Source organism: Homo sapiens, chromosome 5, assembly GCF_000001405.40.
Source record: "Homo sapiens chromosome 5, GRCh38.p14 Primary Assembly".
NCBI lineage: Eukaryota > Metazoa > Chordata > Mammalia > Primates > Hominidae > Homo > Homo sapiens.
The window spans coordinates 81,080,019-81,097,440 of NC_000005.10; the positions used below are offsets into that span (position 1 = coordinate 81,080,019).

General features: G+C 39.3%; 1 protein-coding gene across 7 annotated transcripts in view; it reads left to right on the forward strand.

The window, feature by feature from the left end:
- The window catches only part of RASGRF2 (Ras protein specific guanine nucleotide releasing factor 2), a 269,800-nt gene that overhangs the window by 119,656 nt on the left and 132,722 nt on the right, over positions 1-17,422 (forward strand). For all 7 annotated transcript variants that reach the window (NM_006909.3, XM_005248565.2, XM_017009683.2 and 4 more), the window contains 7 exons: positions 103-182; positions 578-771; positions 5,784-5,893; positions 6,817-6,935; positions 12,783-12,943; positions 14,278-14,344; positions 14,838-14,974. In NM_006909.3, the coding sequence (NP_008840.1) occupies positions 103-182; positions 578-771; positions 5,784-5,893; positions 6,817-6,935; positions 12,783-12,943; positions 14,278-14,344; positions 14,838-14,974 (868 nt within the window). The remainder of the gene's footprint in view (positions 1-102; positions 183-577; positions 772-5,783; positions 5,894-6,816; positions 6,936-12,782; positions 12,944-14,277; positions 14,345-14,837; positions 14,975-17,422) is intronic.

Genomic DNA, 17,422 nt, shown 5'->3' on the forward strand with positions numbered 1-17,422 from the left:
ACATATATATTATGTATATATTAAGGCTTTAAGGACTCTGGATTTTAAACAAAATAAACACATTATAGCAACTAAATTATATTATTTTTCCTTTTTTTATAGTGAAACAATCATGTTTCTTCATGAAATATTTCATCAAGGACTAAAGGCAAGGATAGCAAACTGGCCCACTTTAATTTTAGGTAAGTGCATTCTTTAAAGGTGTAAGATTTTCTTTTAGAGTGGCTGCAATTAGAGTAAAATAGCTCCAACATTATTCAGCCTAAACTGTTTGCATCACCCTGTTGACCTGTGAGCTTCTGTATCCCGGGACCCTGTCTCCTTGCCTTTTGGGTACTTTGGGCCCTGCCTCAGTGTTACCTTTTGATTCTTTCCCCTGGCCTGTCATAGTTAATTTGGGGCTGGAGTCAAGTGCTGCCCATGAGTGCATTCTACCAGATCATCATTCAGGCATCAGGGTTGCGGCTCCATGCATGTGTGACACCTGGTGCTGGGACCCACTCTTTGCCATTCCTGCCCAGTGTAGGTAATTTACCAAGCAACAAGGGAAACAGCCGTGTTTACTGTTTCTTTGCAGCTGATCTGTTTGATATTTTGCTCCCCATGCTGAACATTTATCAAGAATTTGTGCGTAATCACCAGTACAGCCTGCAAGTTCTCGCCAATTGTAAGCAAAACAGAGATTTTGACAAACTCTTAAAACAGTATGAAGCCAATCCAGCCTGTGAGGGGAGGATGCTGGAGACATTCTTGACCTATCCCATGTTTCAGGTAAGTCACTTGGGATGCATTTTGTAAGTCAGAGTTTCCAGCTCAATGTCACTGATACCTAGCGTGACCAGCGTGAGATGCTTAAGTGTGCCCTGGGAGGAATTATGGCACAGATGTACCATCTGTTGCTGTCTTGAGCTTGACCCTGAGATAAACAAATATTGTGCCACACATTCTCTGTGTCTCATGGATATAAGAAAACCAGGCATTTTTGAAGCAAAGAATTCAAGAATGATTTTTTGAAACGCTGCACAATTTTCTCTTTACAGAAAGATTCCACACAGACCTCTTTCATGGAGTCTCCTCCTCCAGCATGTTTAAAAATATTATTTGGTTTACAGAAATAGGATTCTGTGCAAATGTTCCAGTTTATGCTAGTTGCATAAAAGATTCTTGGGGACGGAGTGACTGCTGGGAAGGTTTCTGTTTTCCAGCCCATCCTCCCTTCCTGTCGCGGTTGCTGTTGAGTCTCCCCTCGGCTGGAGCCCTGGAGAACAAAAGGAGGACCTCCCTGGTCACAGAGGCTGTGGAGACTAGGAAACAGAAGGCACGGGTGGGACCTGAGGACTCTTGGCAACTAGTCAGGTGGCCGCAGGGGCTCCCTTTCTGGGACTAGAGCAACCCAAGGGGTCAAGAACACTTGCATTCTTTCCTGGATCTAGGACTTTACCGTTAAGCGCCCAGAAGTGAGAACCAGGGAGGCCAAAATGTGCATTGAATCTCCTGTTGTTTTGAAAAGTGTCGATTCTGTTCTTTTGGAAGAGCATTGAGTGTTCCCATTGTGGAATTTAGGTGGCTTCTGGCCAGGCCTCCAAATTGTCATGTGGTAAACCGATTCTACTAATCATGTGTGTTATGGTTACTGTGGAGCGCTTTGTCCTCCTGCGCAGGCATCTCTGACCCTGGCTAATCATTTTGCAGCCTCAGAAAGAAATGTGGCTGTGGTGCACAATTGTTTGCCTTGAAGTTTGTCAGTCCTGCTCGAAATCCTGGAAGTTGCCGTAGAAGTTTAGTCAGATTTTTAACCGAAAGGATGCATTTAAAACCACTTAAGTATAGTGAAACTTTATAGTGTTTTTGTTTTTGTTTTCCTTTGGAACTGAATTGTTTGAACTCTTTGCCTCTCTTAGGAAATATTTCACAAGAAAGATTTCAGACTTTTAAAACAACTATCTACATAATTGGAATTTAAGATTTTATTTATAATGAAATATATAGTATAGCATTCTTCTGAGATTCTATGTGAATTTTTGACAATTATCTTTAGGTTATGATTCAGTACCCCAAGTTGTATCTGTTCCGTAACCCCAAGTCAGTTGAATATACAAAGGTAGAGTCGTGAAAGACACATGGGGCATTCAGAGAGGAACCAGCTTCCTACCTGACAGCCCCCTGATGTCTTTCTTCGTGCTATTTAATTCCCTCTTGGTGTGATTTTTTCAGTATTTTGAAATGGCAGAGCTGTACTTTCGCTGTAGATGAGGTGTCCAAATACAGCGAATGTAGGTCCTTGGAAAGGTCTTTGGATTTCTTTAAAATGCTGGGATACTCTCCCACCACCCTGCCCTTCCTCTCCCGAAGACTATGCCTGATAGCAATGACTGAGCATTTTGATTGACCCCCGGGAATTTTTATAATGTCTTGAAAAGAACATTGGACTGGGAATCTTTAGGAGACCTGATGTCTCACTCATAGCATCGGGGAAAATAATTGAACCAAACTAAATAGCTATTTCATAATTTGTAAATTGAGGCAGCTGAGCTGAGCTCTAGTTATCTCCAGACTCTCTAGCTCTCTGATGTGGTGATCCTAGAGTGACTACACTAGTTCTGATGTTTTGGATTGGGTAACTATGTGGTGTTTCAAGGAGCTTGGTGTTAGTCTAGGAGCCCCCTCCCCAAGGATGTGGTGACCTCAAACCTTAGAATGTTGGGTCAGATATTGAGGCTTTCTGGCTTTTGCCAGACAAGTCTAACCAGAGGCTTCAGCTTGTGGGAGGCTTTGATCTGGAAGAAGCCTCAAAGAGTTGAGCCAGAATTGTCCAACTGCAAGAAATGAGCAAACTGAAAGAGCACAGAATTGTCTTTGCTTGCTTCCCCATAACTATTTTGAATAGACCAGGAGAAGTCATTGGAGTTCTGTGCCCAAGGGCCTTATGCTCGTTGGTGTCTCCCTTCTGTCTTCTTCACTTGATGCCTCACTCTTCATCCTTCTCTCTAGAAATAACCCTAGAAAACACTTGGGGGAAATTGCCTTTTCTAGAAGCTGAAGCTGAGAGGTTTTTCCTTACTAAGCTCACTCTCTCCTTCTTGTTCCCTTGCAGTTCTTTCACTAATGAAGTGAAATAGTCATGGAGGTATTTGAATCCCTTGGAGGGTCCGGTTGTATCTGCTTCTCTCTGTATTAGCAGTGGTACTTCTGCATGTTTGCCTTGCTCCCTTGTAAGGGTGGACGCCTCAGGATGAGGCTAGGGTTCTCACTTTTTTTTTTTTTTTTTGCTGGAGGCCAACAGTGGAAGAGGTGACCCTAGTTTATACTGCCAAGAGACCTCTGTCCAGACTTTCTTGAGCCCAGATATGGAGGCAGAAGTTAGTGTAGGGGAAGAGAGAGGAGGAGAGGCAATTGGAAGCCTTTAGCTTGTATGTGTAGAAGAGAGAAGGTGATTGTCTTCCTCCTTCTCGGCCCTTTTTTGAGTTAGTCAGTTGCTGCTGTTATCAAGCTATGTTGAACTATGGAAACATGGAGAAATTGTAGAATTTGGATGATGCAGTAAAATTATCCCCAGTTGAACTATCAGAACAGTAAGTCCAAGTATTGCCAAGAAATTTGTTATGGAAAATAATGTTGTCATTAACATAATTTTTATTTATTAAAGACAGTGGCTTGGCTGGTACTGTTTAAATTGGCTTCAGCTGCTCATGTATTTATTTGGATATGTATGTGTCGAAAGTCCATTGGTAAGCCAATCGTGAAATCTGCTCCTGACAAGAACAGCAGTGTTAGATGTTCTCCAGAAAGTAGCTACTTGCTATTCTATCCACTTATTTACTGTAATTGGAGAGCAAGCTAATTAATGTCTATAAAGTGACAAGTATTTGCTCCATAATTGAAAGCAGAATTATGATTCATTTAGACAGTTCCTATGATTCTTGGTTTTGGGGGAAGAGATTTATAATCAGCTCTTGAAGATACAGATGAGCCCTTTGGAGAGCTGACCACTTCTCTGCAGAACTTCGTTTGCCTGCTTTTTGGCAGTTTCAGTGCCTGTTTGTTCCTTCACCATAAGGCAGAAAGGGCCAGAGACTGAATTCAAATCCATCTACCTGAATCTTAGCCAGCGAGCACTTTAAAAGAAATTTAAGTAATGAGGAAGGATCATGAGAGTATTGACCAAACTCAGTTTTGTGGATTTTCAGTGCATTATAAGTACTCAAGCTTTCCTACACCTGTCCTGTTTGCTATGAAAAATTTTGTACATTAGCTATTGATTGCCTTGATTTTCTTGTGGAATTACTAATTAGAGGCAAACTTTTATCAGTCATGCAATTATGCCAGCGAAAAAGATATTTGAAAGCACACTTATCCCAGGAGACTTCATCAAGTGGGACAACCCTAAGGGCTGTATTAGTGAGAAGTTCATGGGAGAAGGAGCAGAAAATCTCCTCCATATATCCTAAAAAGGGAGGATTCTCCTGTTTCCCACCCTTCCACGATGAAGGGGGCCTATTTGTGCTTCCTGAAGCCTTGATTTGATGACATTCCTTAGGGTGTGATCCCAGAGCTGAAGTTCAATGTCTGTGCTAATGGTGGCTGTGTCTATGCATAGTGTGTAAATGGACACACTCAATAAACATTGGTAAGCAGCCCAATGAAGGCCACCACTTGCACAAGAGCCAATGCAGATCCCTAGGTAGGGCCACTGACCCTTCAGGACAGAATGGAAGAAACTGCACACAGGGTCCTGGAAAGCTGTTGTAGTTTCTTCATTCTCAAAGGTACTTTCAAGTGCTGAGTGAGACCTCAGTCCCCGCAGACGAGAGCTCCCAGGGTGAGTTCTGAGAAAAGACAGTTAGTGCACTGGTCAGAGCTGGGATTATAGTTGACGCTCCCATTTACTGTGAGGCCACCAATGGGGCAAGTTTGGGCAAGTTACCAAACTTCTTCCCACTTTAGTTCTCTATCTGTAAAAGCCTAAAACTTCTTCCCATTTTAGTTCTCTATCTATAAAATGGAGACATAATCCTTATGATGTTAGAGGACTGGACACATTGGCAAAGCCTGGAGCACCCAGTCTAACCCCCGAGTGGGTAATGTTGTGGTAGATGTTCATGCATGTTATTGTTAAAATTAAGCCCACAATAAATAAGTTGTGTCACTAGAAATTAGGTTGAATCTCTATCATGGTTTATTAAGATCTTCCTCTGGTTGGTGGAGTTTCTGTCTTTGACAGAATTCAGATAGTCTGTTAATAAACAAAAGTACAAATAAATAACCTAAACAATACTTTTTACTGCAAGGAGGTGAATTGAGATAAAGTAGAAACAGAAAGTAATAAAGGTGAACATGTCTTCTCCCAAGTTTTAATTCTTAGGGAGAATAGTGCAGTGGGATTGTTGATTTAAAAACATTGCAAATGGACTAATATATCTAAAATACAGACTCAAGTGACTTGATGATAGCTGTATCTGTTTCCCTCTGAACCAGTTTTCAAAAATTATGATTCAAAAGTGTATGATTATGTAAAAAAAAATTAAAGAAACAACCATCTCTTTGTACCATAACACTTCAATAATTTCCACCTTTTCATGTGTTCTTGGTGAAGTCTTTTTTTTGGTGTGCATGAAGTGTGAAGTGTAGTTCATTTTATTTGTATTTCTTTTTTAAAAAATGTGTAAAACAGTAAAAAGTGGGAGAGTAGAGACAAGCTTCTCGAAGCAATGATGGCCCTGCGGAGCATGTGCCCTGTCACCCATCCTGATGTCTTGCTCATACTGGCCTCTGTTTGCATCTAGATCCCCAGATATATCATCACACTCCATGAGCTCCTTGCTCACACACCCCATGAGCATGTGGAAAGGAAAAGCCTGGAGTTTGCCAAATCAAAGCTAGAGGAACTATCCAGGTATGCCAAGAACTTATAACAAAGGCTTGGGAGAGGAAAGCAGCAAGTTAGTCTCTTGTGGAAACCTCCTGTATATGTTCTAAGGAACAAGAAGCAAAACAAATCCAGCTTCTCAGATTCACCTGAAAGTTAAATAGTAGCTTGTGAGGTGATATTGAATCATCATTCACATTCATTTGAACCAAGAAAAATACGTATCTTGGAAAATGTTCTTATAGCATGTGAATTTATGTAATTCAGATTAGGTGTATTTTGGTTTAAGTTTGGAAATGTTCATGTTTCTTTCAGCATTAAAAAAAAAATGATAGCCAGGTGTGGTGGTGTGCACCTGTAGTCCCAGCTACTTGGGAAGCTGAGACGAGGGTGCAAGGGGTGATGATTATTTGACCCCAGGAATTTGAGACCAGCCTGGGCAACATAGCGAGACCCCATCTCAACAAAAAAGACTCTCAGTTGCATTTTGTATTCATATTTGGTAAGAAGCTAGAGAATGTACAGTTTGCATTTCTCAGTGACTTTTCATTGTTACAAGCACTTATTTATGTCTGTGTTACTTTAGCTTATATGGGATAAATGGTCTAAAGGTCTCTTATTTAGTCTGCCTCCAAGAAATGGCCCCCTAATCTCAATGACGGGAACTGGCCACAAAATGACATGTTGCTTTCCTGTTGCACTTAGAAGCAGACATGCCCAGGATGCTCGTAATTGCTGACCCATTTACTGTTTAGAATTATGAGGCACATTGGCTTTGTTTTTGGTCATGACCTGTTGAAGCCTGGAAAGATCCAGCCTATTTCCCCCAAACCCCCGGTTCAATCGATACAAGCTTGCAACCGAGCTTCTCAGATGGAGCTCTTCTTTGCCTACATGCTAGGGCAAGAGAAAATCTCTCTTACTGTGATCCTGTCTGTGTTGTGTCACAGAGTAATGCACGATGAAGTCAGCGACACTGAAAACATAAGGAAAAACCTTGCCATCGAAAGAATGATCGTGGAGGGCTGTGACATCTTGCTGGACACCAGCCAAACGTTCATCCGCCAAGGTAAGTCCCTGTGAAATGGACCCGCGACCTGATGCGCTGTGCGGCTGTCACATGATCTCGGCACACCCCGGAAGGCGTTCTGAACAGGCGTGACGGGTGCGGTGCCCGAAGGACCCCCCCACGGCCTTCGCCGAGGCGGTGGTTGAGGCCCACCTTTGTGCTGTTTCTTTTCAGGGACCATGAAAAACAGCAACACAATCATAGTAAAGCACGAGTGGGGCAGGCAGTTACATTCTGACTGGACGCTCCTCCTCAGCGGCCCGGACATTCTCTGCAGCTCCAAGGAGGACCGGTCGGCCTGGCCCACGGCCGTGGCAGTGCCAAGTGCTGACGATACCCAGGCCAAGGCCCAGGAGAAACTTGCGTTGCTCAAAGCCCTTTCACATAAGACTGGGGACCATGTCCGAAGTGAAAACAGCTGTCTGTTGTTCCCATTTTTCATCAGCACTTCCGGATCCGCCCCACACGATATAATTTGATTCAACTGGTAACTCCCGTTGCCAGATGAAATGTCTCTGATGGACACTTGCCACGCTTTGGTAATGCAGAAGCTGTCGTGTTTGCGAAGTGTGCTTTGGGGGCATCACTCGATAAATTAAGCTTTTGAAGAGTTGAAGATATTTGTGCCGGAAACTGTGGAGAAGCAACAGCCTGACAGTGCCTATTTCTCCTCGGCTGTTATTTCAAAATGCAAGACGTAAACCACATCCCAAGTTATTTTTTTAGTGCTTAGGTCCTCTGGGGGAGGGGAGAATGCCCCAGGCAATTGATTTGAGACAATATATTGCACACATTTATAATTTTGAATTTGGTGAGGAGTGGAATATAAATTTGGAACTCAAATTAATCGTTAATGTAGTTTCTGTTTATAATGTGCCAATACATTTGAAGATATTTGTGTTGCCATTGCCTACCATAATGTACTGCTTAAAATCTCTTTTTACCTCATCAAGAACAAGACAATGTTTTGTGCACATTAATTTTTGCACAGACTACTTTAAAAGTTTAATGCATGCCATTCTATTTTCCATTATTTATTTACAAGGAGAAACCACACATATGTTAAAGTTTGGGAGTGTATTTTAGGAAATGATTCCTTTTCTCATTTTTGGCTTTAGATATTCTTTTTTCTTTAAATAAGGGTGGAATATAATGCTGACAACATCAGGCCCTTGTAATGCCTCCTCTATTCCTCTGCACAGACTGTGTCCCCACATTGGCTTCCTGCCTGCCAGCCTCTGTGCCTTTCCTTGTGCTGTCCCCAGCCTGGGGGCTGGGAATGTCCTTATCCATTTCTTTTGTGCCTGTTGAAGTTCTGCTTGTCCCACCAGGCTCAGATCAGATACCTCGAAGGAGCCTTTTATAATTTCCTCTTCTTCCTCCTCCCCTCTCCTCCAGTTAGAATGGATTTACCTTCCACTTGTTTCCAAGGCACTTTACTCCTGGTGCGTGTATTTCATCCTCTTGCTTGTATACCTCTCTCTCCTGGTTACTGTAAACTCTGAAGGGCAGCACTTAAGGAATTCTCTCTGCCTTACCTTGTCTAGTATGATGCTTTTTGTTACAGATACCTGGAAAATGGGCGTTGAATTAAATTATTTACTGAATTGCAATTATGACTGTAAAGTGTTTTATGTTGTATTTTTCTTGTATTGGAGTTTCCTGAAAATGTCTACTAATTGACTTGTGCTTGATAGTATGTGAGAATGGAGACGAAAGTTTCTATAATGTACAATTTCTTAAAGGATTTTTGATTGGGAAGTATTATAACCCACAAACATACTATATTGCTAAAAAACGTAAACTTTTTTAGGTCTGAGCTTGAAAAAACATTCAATAATGAAAAATGCTGGAAGGTCAAATACTGAATGTCATTTTTTTTCACTGCAATTGGAGAGAAAACAATCATGAACAATTTCTCCCTTTATTCATGCCCATATGTTATTAATTCCTTGTTATGTACCACATGTTTAAGGCACTTCTGTCAGCTATGAATATTTCTGATATTATTATCATGTTGATGTCAATATAATGATTTGCCTTTTAGCAGTATTTTTCTGCATGTGTGGTTTGGTTAGTTGTTTAAGAGTTATACAGTAAAGTTGGTTTCTAAAATTCAGACCTCAATCTGAAATTAGGAAGTAATACAATCACAGACAATTTGGAAAGTTTGCATTGTTTTGCTTTGGTTACTCCTATTATCACTTTTACATAGCACCCTTAACGACTTTAAGACCCATTGAGGCGTTTTCAAAAATTATTATTTTAAAAAAATTTAGAGGGATTCTTATTTTCTATGAAATGGTCTACAATTTATCTCTAAAGGTGTACTAATATTTGTGTTAATTACTTTTAGGGATGATATGTGGTCTATTTCTATGTGCGTGTGTGTGTGTGTGCATGCGTGCATGTGTGCATGTAGTTTCCACCTTATGTGAATTTTTATTCATAAGAACTAGAAAAATACGTCATCCAGATCATCTGAAAGATCACCTCAGAATAAAGGCATCAGCAACTCTTGAATGTTTTTTGATGAGGATTTAGTGATTGAAATAATGAAAGTTTTATTGTAAATGGTTTCCCATTATTAGTCTGTTGGATAGGATACAGAAGACTATATTATAGAAATGGTCTGATATTATCATTGTTTTCTAAAATCTATTAATAGTTTGTTGAATAAATGTGTGAGTGTCTGAGGCAATGATAGGAAAACAGTCTAGCTGCATCACTGGAGGTCAAATCCTGTCTCCCCTACTTCCTTGCTGTGTGATATTGGGCAATTTACTTAACTTCTCTATGCCTCAGTTTCTTCTCCTTAAATTGGAGTTAATAGTAGTAGCTATCTTTTAGGATTGTTGTAAAAATGAGCTAATGCTCACAAAAGCACCTAGACTAGTACCTGCAAGATTATGATAAACTTTAAAAGCCAAGATCCAAATTTTGGAATGACTTCCTATTTTCAATAACATGAAATATGTATGAATATTTAGTAGAAGATAAAGGCACTCTAAGCTGACATTTTGTACAAAATCTATTATGCATTGTGAACAGTGTTTTGTGGAAATGTAAGTCAGGAAAATGAAATATAGGTGACTGAATACAGGACTAAGTGCCTTGAGAATAAGACATGGACCTTTCTGGTATTTTAATCATTCCTAGACTCTAAGTCATGCGCTTTCAATGTACCAGTGTTCTCTGAAATTTTAACTTTGGGTCTAGAGACAGTTATATCTTCTCAAATGCCTAACCCAATAAGCTGGAAATGGTTCTTCATTCTTTTTCATTACTCAGTAGAATTAAGAATAAGGGGCATAGTCTTGAATGCCATTCTGTGGGAATGAAGTGATTGAATTAACAGAAATTTTGTTGGAAGTTGACCCCAATTATTAGAGAGACCGATGACCAGGATGCAAAGAATCATGCTATAGCAATGATCTGATGAATTACTAAATGAATACTAAGTATTTCTCTAATTTGTATTAGCTAGCGAGGAATCCTTTCTTCATATCTCATAGCTGTATTGAAACATCATGTCAAATGCAAGAGAAAATGTGAAAAAATCCTCTTAAAATGCTTTTTCCAAATATGATTATTTCACAAACCATAGTGTTGCAATTTCTCACTTTTAATTCAGATGTATACATTTCTGTATGTACCTAATGTACACAGTCTCCTATGTCTCCCTTCTACTTGGATATAAGGTAAACAATTATAGATTAAGCATATTAGTGTATGGTTGCCAAGGAAACATTTATTTTTTTTGTCTCACAGCTGAAATTCACAGTAATTGCTAATATATGAGCTAACAGCGTATTCTGTAATTTCTTTCTAAATTGTATTTATTTTTATGTATTCTATAATTTCTGACATAGAAAATCACTAAATTGCTAGAAGCATTTACTAACGAACACATTATTATTGAGTTTTCACAGCTTGCTTATAGCCTTTCTGAAAATGACTCCCAGAGCTATTTGTCCACCAAGATTATTTGTCCAAGCCTCAGTCTTTCACTCAGCCCTAAGTCATGGGCCTGATGGCTCATGGCCCCCATGGCAGAGCTAGAACTTACTCTCTTCCCATCTGTCTTCTTTCTGAGTCTTATATTTTATGTGGCTGAATCCCCTGGCTACATCACTCCCTTCTCACTTAGGCATGACCTTAGGCGAGCTACTTGGCCTCAGACCTCAGTTTCCCCATCTGTGAAATGGGAGGCATTAAACCATGTCCTCTGCAAGGCCTCTGGCTTTGATTGCATCCTGAGCCCTATGAGCCCATCCTTCTGCTGCTATGACTTGCTCATAGACTTCCCTAACTTCTGCCTCCTGCTTTCCCCTGCCTCCAGTACTCTATGTCATTCCTTGCTGCCTGGGCTGCCAGCCAGTTTGCTCCCACCCACCTCACCTCCTTCATTCACTCTCCTCTTGCCCATCCCTTCGTGGGAGTCAAGCCGTCTCCTGGCCCATTGTTCCCCAATCCCACACCCTCACCCAGGACTTCTTCCTTGCTATTCTTTAGGCCCAGAATAGCTGCCTACTCTGTGTCTGTCAAGCATCCCACTGCAGCACTCACCAAAATAGACAGTGTGAGATCCAGGCGTGGAAACTTGGGTCTCTTGCCACCCTGTACACCTTTCAATTTCTGTTAAAAAGTAGATGCAATTTGCAACATTCATATGTTAATATGAACATTTTGTGACTCACAATCATAGTTTTACCAACTTACATATATATATTATTTATATGGAGAACTTTAGTGGTCTTTTTCTGCTTATTGAAGTAGTTTGTGCTCATTAAAAAAATCAAGAAGCTAGAAAAATGTATGAAGAGGAAAATAAGGTTGTCTACAATCTCATCTCTTAGTGATGACTGTTGTTAATGTTCAAGGGTTGGATATGCACTTAATGATTCTTCTGAGGGTAATATGAGCCTGCAGAAGGCTGCATTTGGGGTAGGTGGTAGGTTAAATAAATGTAAGAAATTTGACTATCTCAGGGCACTTCAGAAGTCAGAATCAAGAGGTTGGCAAGAATCTTTGTTAGTACTTTTTGGTTTGATATTTAACTTAGATTGGAATTTTATTTTTGGGGTAGGGGGAGGTTGCTATGAGGGTGAAATCTAGAAATAATCAAAGGTAATGTTGGTATTATAAAGTCTGTGTATAGCTTCCCACATTAAATGGAAGGTAGTTTTGCTCCTAGGAGTATACTGGGTATAGATTTTATGTGGATTATTTTCTGTTTAGATTCCACAAATAATTTTTATCTCACATAATTTAAATGTAACTTGAAATAGGTGTCCTTTAAAAATAGTTCTTAGCTAAATTTCACTGAATTATATAATTTATATATTTTTATAATATACATGTATTGTACATTCTATTTTTAAAATACAAGGTAAACTGTATTAATATGCTATTTATCTACATTCTGTGCTTCAGGAAGAATACATTGCATTTGCTTTTTGTTATCATATTATTCTATATAATTATGCAATATGTATGTTATTATTAAATACATAAATTGATTGGATCAGATCACTAAGGACAGATGGCAGAAGTGCTTCATTCTTTGAATTCAATTTTGCCATCTTTCAAACTTATTTTCCAGTTTATAGATGAAGAATCAAGTCTAAAGTGTTTCACAAAAATATTAGGAACAGTTCAGCCCTTAAAATACAATGCATTGTTTCTTCTGCTCAGACTGGAAGAGAGTTACTTGTTCTGATGATGTGTCACATAAATCAATCCCTGGTATTTTGGGAAACAGACCTTAGTGTTTATTGCCGTGGACATGGTCCTCACTTGACAGAATTTTAATTGCTGTGTATTCTTCATTTTTGTAATCACCAGGTTCTCTTATTCAAGTACCTTCCGTTGAGAGGGGGAAACTTAGTAAAGTTCGCCTGGGTTCGTTGTCTTTGAAAAAGGAAGGAGAGAGACAATGCTTCTTATTTACAAAACACTTTTTAATATGTACAAGAAGTTCAGGAGGGAAGCTTCATCTGCTCAAGGTACTGGTTTTCCATAACTGTTCCATTTATCTTCCAAGCACTTACAAGTTATTGAAGTTAACTCATTTGAGACTTTCCCATGCTTGGTATTATCATAAAACAGATTGTCATGATTGCATAATGAGTGAGGTAATGTACTGTTACCAACTCTGCCATTTAATTCGTTGTCATTTAAATTCAAAGTAACAGAAATGTATTTTAAGTATGCATCACCATAAAGAAATACAATTAAAATCGTAACCTGGACAAAATTATATACTGTACTGTATCTGTATAATCATATACAAAGTTATATACTAGTTGACAACTACTGAGCTACAAAAATCTTCTCAAATCACTACAATGTACCAATGCAATATTTGCTAAATCCTATTTTATCTTTCTCTGTACTAGGAGTCAGCAAACTATGGCCCATGGCTTAGAGCCTGTTTTTGTTAATAAAATTTTTTGTTTTGTGTTTTTTTTGTTGAGATAGGATCTCACTCTGTTGCCCAGGCTGGAGTACAGCAGCGTGATCATAGCTCACTGCAACCTCGAACTCCTAGACTCAAGCAGTCCTCCTGCCTCAGCTTCCCAAGCTGCTGGGACTACAGACATGCACTGCCATGCCCATCTAATCTTTAAAAAATTTTTAGTAGAGACAATGTCTTGCTATGTTACTCAGGCTGGTCTTGAACTCCTGGCATCAAGTGATCCTCCTGCCTTGGCCTCCCAAAGTGCTAGTGTGAGCCACTGTGCCTGGTGTACAAGTGTGAGCCACTGTGCCTGGCCTGTTAATAAAGTTTTATTGGAACACAGCCATGCGCATGTCTTTGTGTCTGTGGCTGCTTTTATGCTAAAGTGGCAGATCTGAGTAGTTGTGACAGAGATCATATGACTTGCAGAGCCTAAAATACTTACTATCTGACCCTTTATGGAAAAAGTTTGCCTAGATAGGCAAACTTTTTTATTATTGCTTATAAATATTATTCAACACCATGATGACAGCTTTCTACTGCTTAAGCCACTTCCTGGTTGGTGAGTTCAGCCCTTTGCTAAGGTGCATTACTCTCTAAAGCCACTGTGGTACCATCTAAGTCTCCCATCAGCCGACTTGCTAAATTTTATAAACAACTGAGTGAGAGTGGGTTGAAAGGGAAGGATTTTACTGAAGTTAAATGAGTTCACTTCCTTTTGCACATCTAAGTTTAATTTTGGGCTCTATGAAAAATTATTTATGATGCAGAATTGCTATGCTTTCTTCCATGGCAACTTGAATATAGTGTTTACAAATCAGAGCTTCCCAATCTACACAAGACCTTCAGCGTCTTAGTGAAAAATTGGTTTGTTTCCAGACAGGTGGGGTTCTGTCTCTAATAGACTGCACATTGATTGAGGAGCCAGATGCAAGCGATGATGACTGTAAGTCACCTTCGATCACTTAGGATTCTATTAGAATTAGAGGCGGGAGAGAGAGGCTGAGGATAAACTCCCTAAAGTCATTTATGTATGAAAAATTGAACCATTTAGCCCATGAGCCTTGTTAAACCATCTTTGGGAATTCACATTTTACTGAATTTGTTTTGTGATAGTGACTATTCAGTGGCAGATAGAGAAGAAGGAAGAGTTGAATTAGAGTGTTGGAATTCTATAAATCATGGGAATTTTTTTTAAAAAAAACTATGAAATCAGAAGGAAACCAGGATTCTAGTCTCAAGTAACCTACTGACCTCAGCTTCTTCATCTGCTTATGAGCTTAATAAAGCCCTCTTCATGCCTGAGAAGTACGATATTGCTGAAATGAGAGTCCCGATTTGAGTGCAAATGGATTGTATAAATAGAATAATGTGAAGGCAGCTATCACTCTTTGTTTTTTTGTATTCTCATCTAATTGTTTGCTTTACATGTGTTCAAGCTAAAGGTTCTGGGCAAGTGTTTGGGCACCTGGATTTTAAAATAGTGGTGGAGCCTCCTGACGCTGCCGCCTTCACTGTTGTCTTGTTAGCACCCTCACGCCAGGAGAAAGCTGCCTGGATGAGTGACATCAGTCAGGTAAGAAAGTGGCTTTTGCCAAATTTTTGTTTTTTAAATTTCACAACTCAAACTTTTGGAGATAGTTTTTAGAGGTTTTTTATCTTTATTAAAAAATTACACTCAGTTGCTATGGTCACTGCCATAATCACTATGTATCTTGATAAGCTGTGATCATTATCATTTTTGTTGTTGTTGTTTCTCTTCTTAAGGTTAAAATTTGCCTGAAATGTAGTAATTGGATTTTAGTTCCTGGGCATTTTACACCAGCAGCAAATGTAATCATTTGTGTTGAACAGTATTGAGATTGCCCTGTTAGTAATAAATTCTCTAATGACTCCACTCCATATTTTGCTTATTTGTTTCTGAAGCAGAATAATGGTGAAAGATACAAAAACAGCCAACATAGGGCTATGGCAGGAAATCATGAATTAAAGAATCAAAAGAGACACCGTCTCTAGTATGAAACCTGAAAATAAGCTCCTGTATTTCGTATATTAAAAAATTAGGGACAGAATTTTTACCTTTCCTTGATCAGCAGCGCCAGTTGGGGAATTGCTCCATTTATTTAGGAAATAATATGATTTAGAATATGTCAAAACTAGTCATGATTGGACTTGGACATTCTTATTCAAGCTCCATATGAATTTTGGCTCTGTAGGGGAAAAGTGTTGCTATGTAAGAAAAATATTTTTTAAGGACTTGATAATTATTTTCAAAGTTGTTAACTCAAAGAAACTGGGGCACATGAAAAAGGTATATATTGTAGTTTTCATGCTTTTTTTTGGAAGAGCTTATAGTAATTTATATATAAGACAAGTGGAAACATGAATTCTATCATAGTTATTTGGAACTTAATTCTTTTTTTGAGTGACTGAAAATTGAGGTGAAATAGAAAATGAATGTCAATAGTAATCATTTTTATTTGTCAAAGAAGTTTTACAGACTTAATCTCATTTGACTCTTACAATAGTATTCTGAAGGTAAGCAGAGAGAAATTAGTCCCATTTCACAGGTGAGAAAACTGAGGTCTGCAAAGTTAAGCATTTGTCAAAAGCTGCTCAGCTGCATTGAGTCAGAATGTGAACCTAATTTGGGTCTTTTTTTCTGTTTAGCGCTCTAAACATCCTCTACAAGAGTGCCTTATGCTGGACTTTTACTTATATACCCTCAGGATGGCTTCAATGGCAAATAAATAGCTAGAAAAGAAGCCATTTCTTTTCTGCCTGACAAGGAAATGAAAATATGGGATCTTCCATTTTTGTGGACTTGCATCCTTGTGGTGATTTATTCATACGTTCATTAGCTCTATGCTATATCAATTAATAGCATATTAAGTCTCTCCCTATTTGTAACACATCTCTTACTTTATGAAACTCTGGATCATTCATTGACTCTTTGAACATTTATTGAGGAATCACCATGTGCTGTCAGGTATTGTGCAGGTACCAGGAATACGACCATGGTTCTTGCTCTCAGGGAGAATAGGCAGGCTCATAGGGAGCAAAAGGAAGTAAACAGCTAAATGCAAAAAATTGTGTGCGTGTTGTGAAGCCAAGATATGTAGGAAGAATGGGGAGAATAGGAGTAGGCAAAGGTGTTTTTCCACCTGCTTCTACCTTCTACCTTATGATATAATTAGGGCTCCTAAGATACAGACTTGATAAAAGCTCAGGTGACCTTCTTTAGCATGACTGGGGAGACATTGTTAAGAGAGAAAGACCCTTGGAGTGCGTGAATAATTCTGTGCCTGGTCCTTTAAAGAAAGGCACCCAATGCTTTGCCTGTCACTAGCAAAGGTCTAAGTGAGTCTTTCCCTCTGCTTATACTAGATGTTAAGGTAGAAAGAAATATACAACTTCCTCCTTATTTCTCCAAGATGCTATGGGTATTATGCTGCTTAGCAAAAAAAAATTGTACTAGATTATATCTTCAGTGGAAGGAGGCTAACCAAAAGTTGTATCTGTTTTTTCTGTTTTTTTTGTTTGTTTGTTTGTGTTTTTTTTTTGAGATGGAGTCTCGCTCTGTCGCCCAGGCTGGAGTGCAGTGGTGCGATCTCAGCTCACTGCAACCTCCACCTCCCAGATTCAAGTGATTCTCCTGCCTCAGCTTCCCGAGTAGCTGGGATTACAGGTGTGCACCATCACACCCAGCTAATTTTGTATTTTTAGGAGAGATGGGGTCTCACCATGTTGGCCAGGGTGGTCTCAAACTTCTGACCTCAGGTGATCCTCCCGCCTCGGCCTCCCAAAGTGCTGGGATTACACGCGTGAGCCACTGCACTCGGCCAAGTTATCTTTTTTAGTGATGGGGATACCATCACACAAAATGACTATGGCATTTTGTGGCTTTGACATTTGTGGTTTTATTCATTCAACAAATATATTTATGCAGTGATATATGCCTGGCACTGTTCTAGAGATTTGTGACATATCATGAAGAAAAGAGACAACAACAACAAAATTTTCT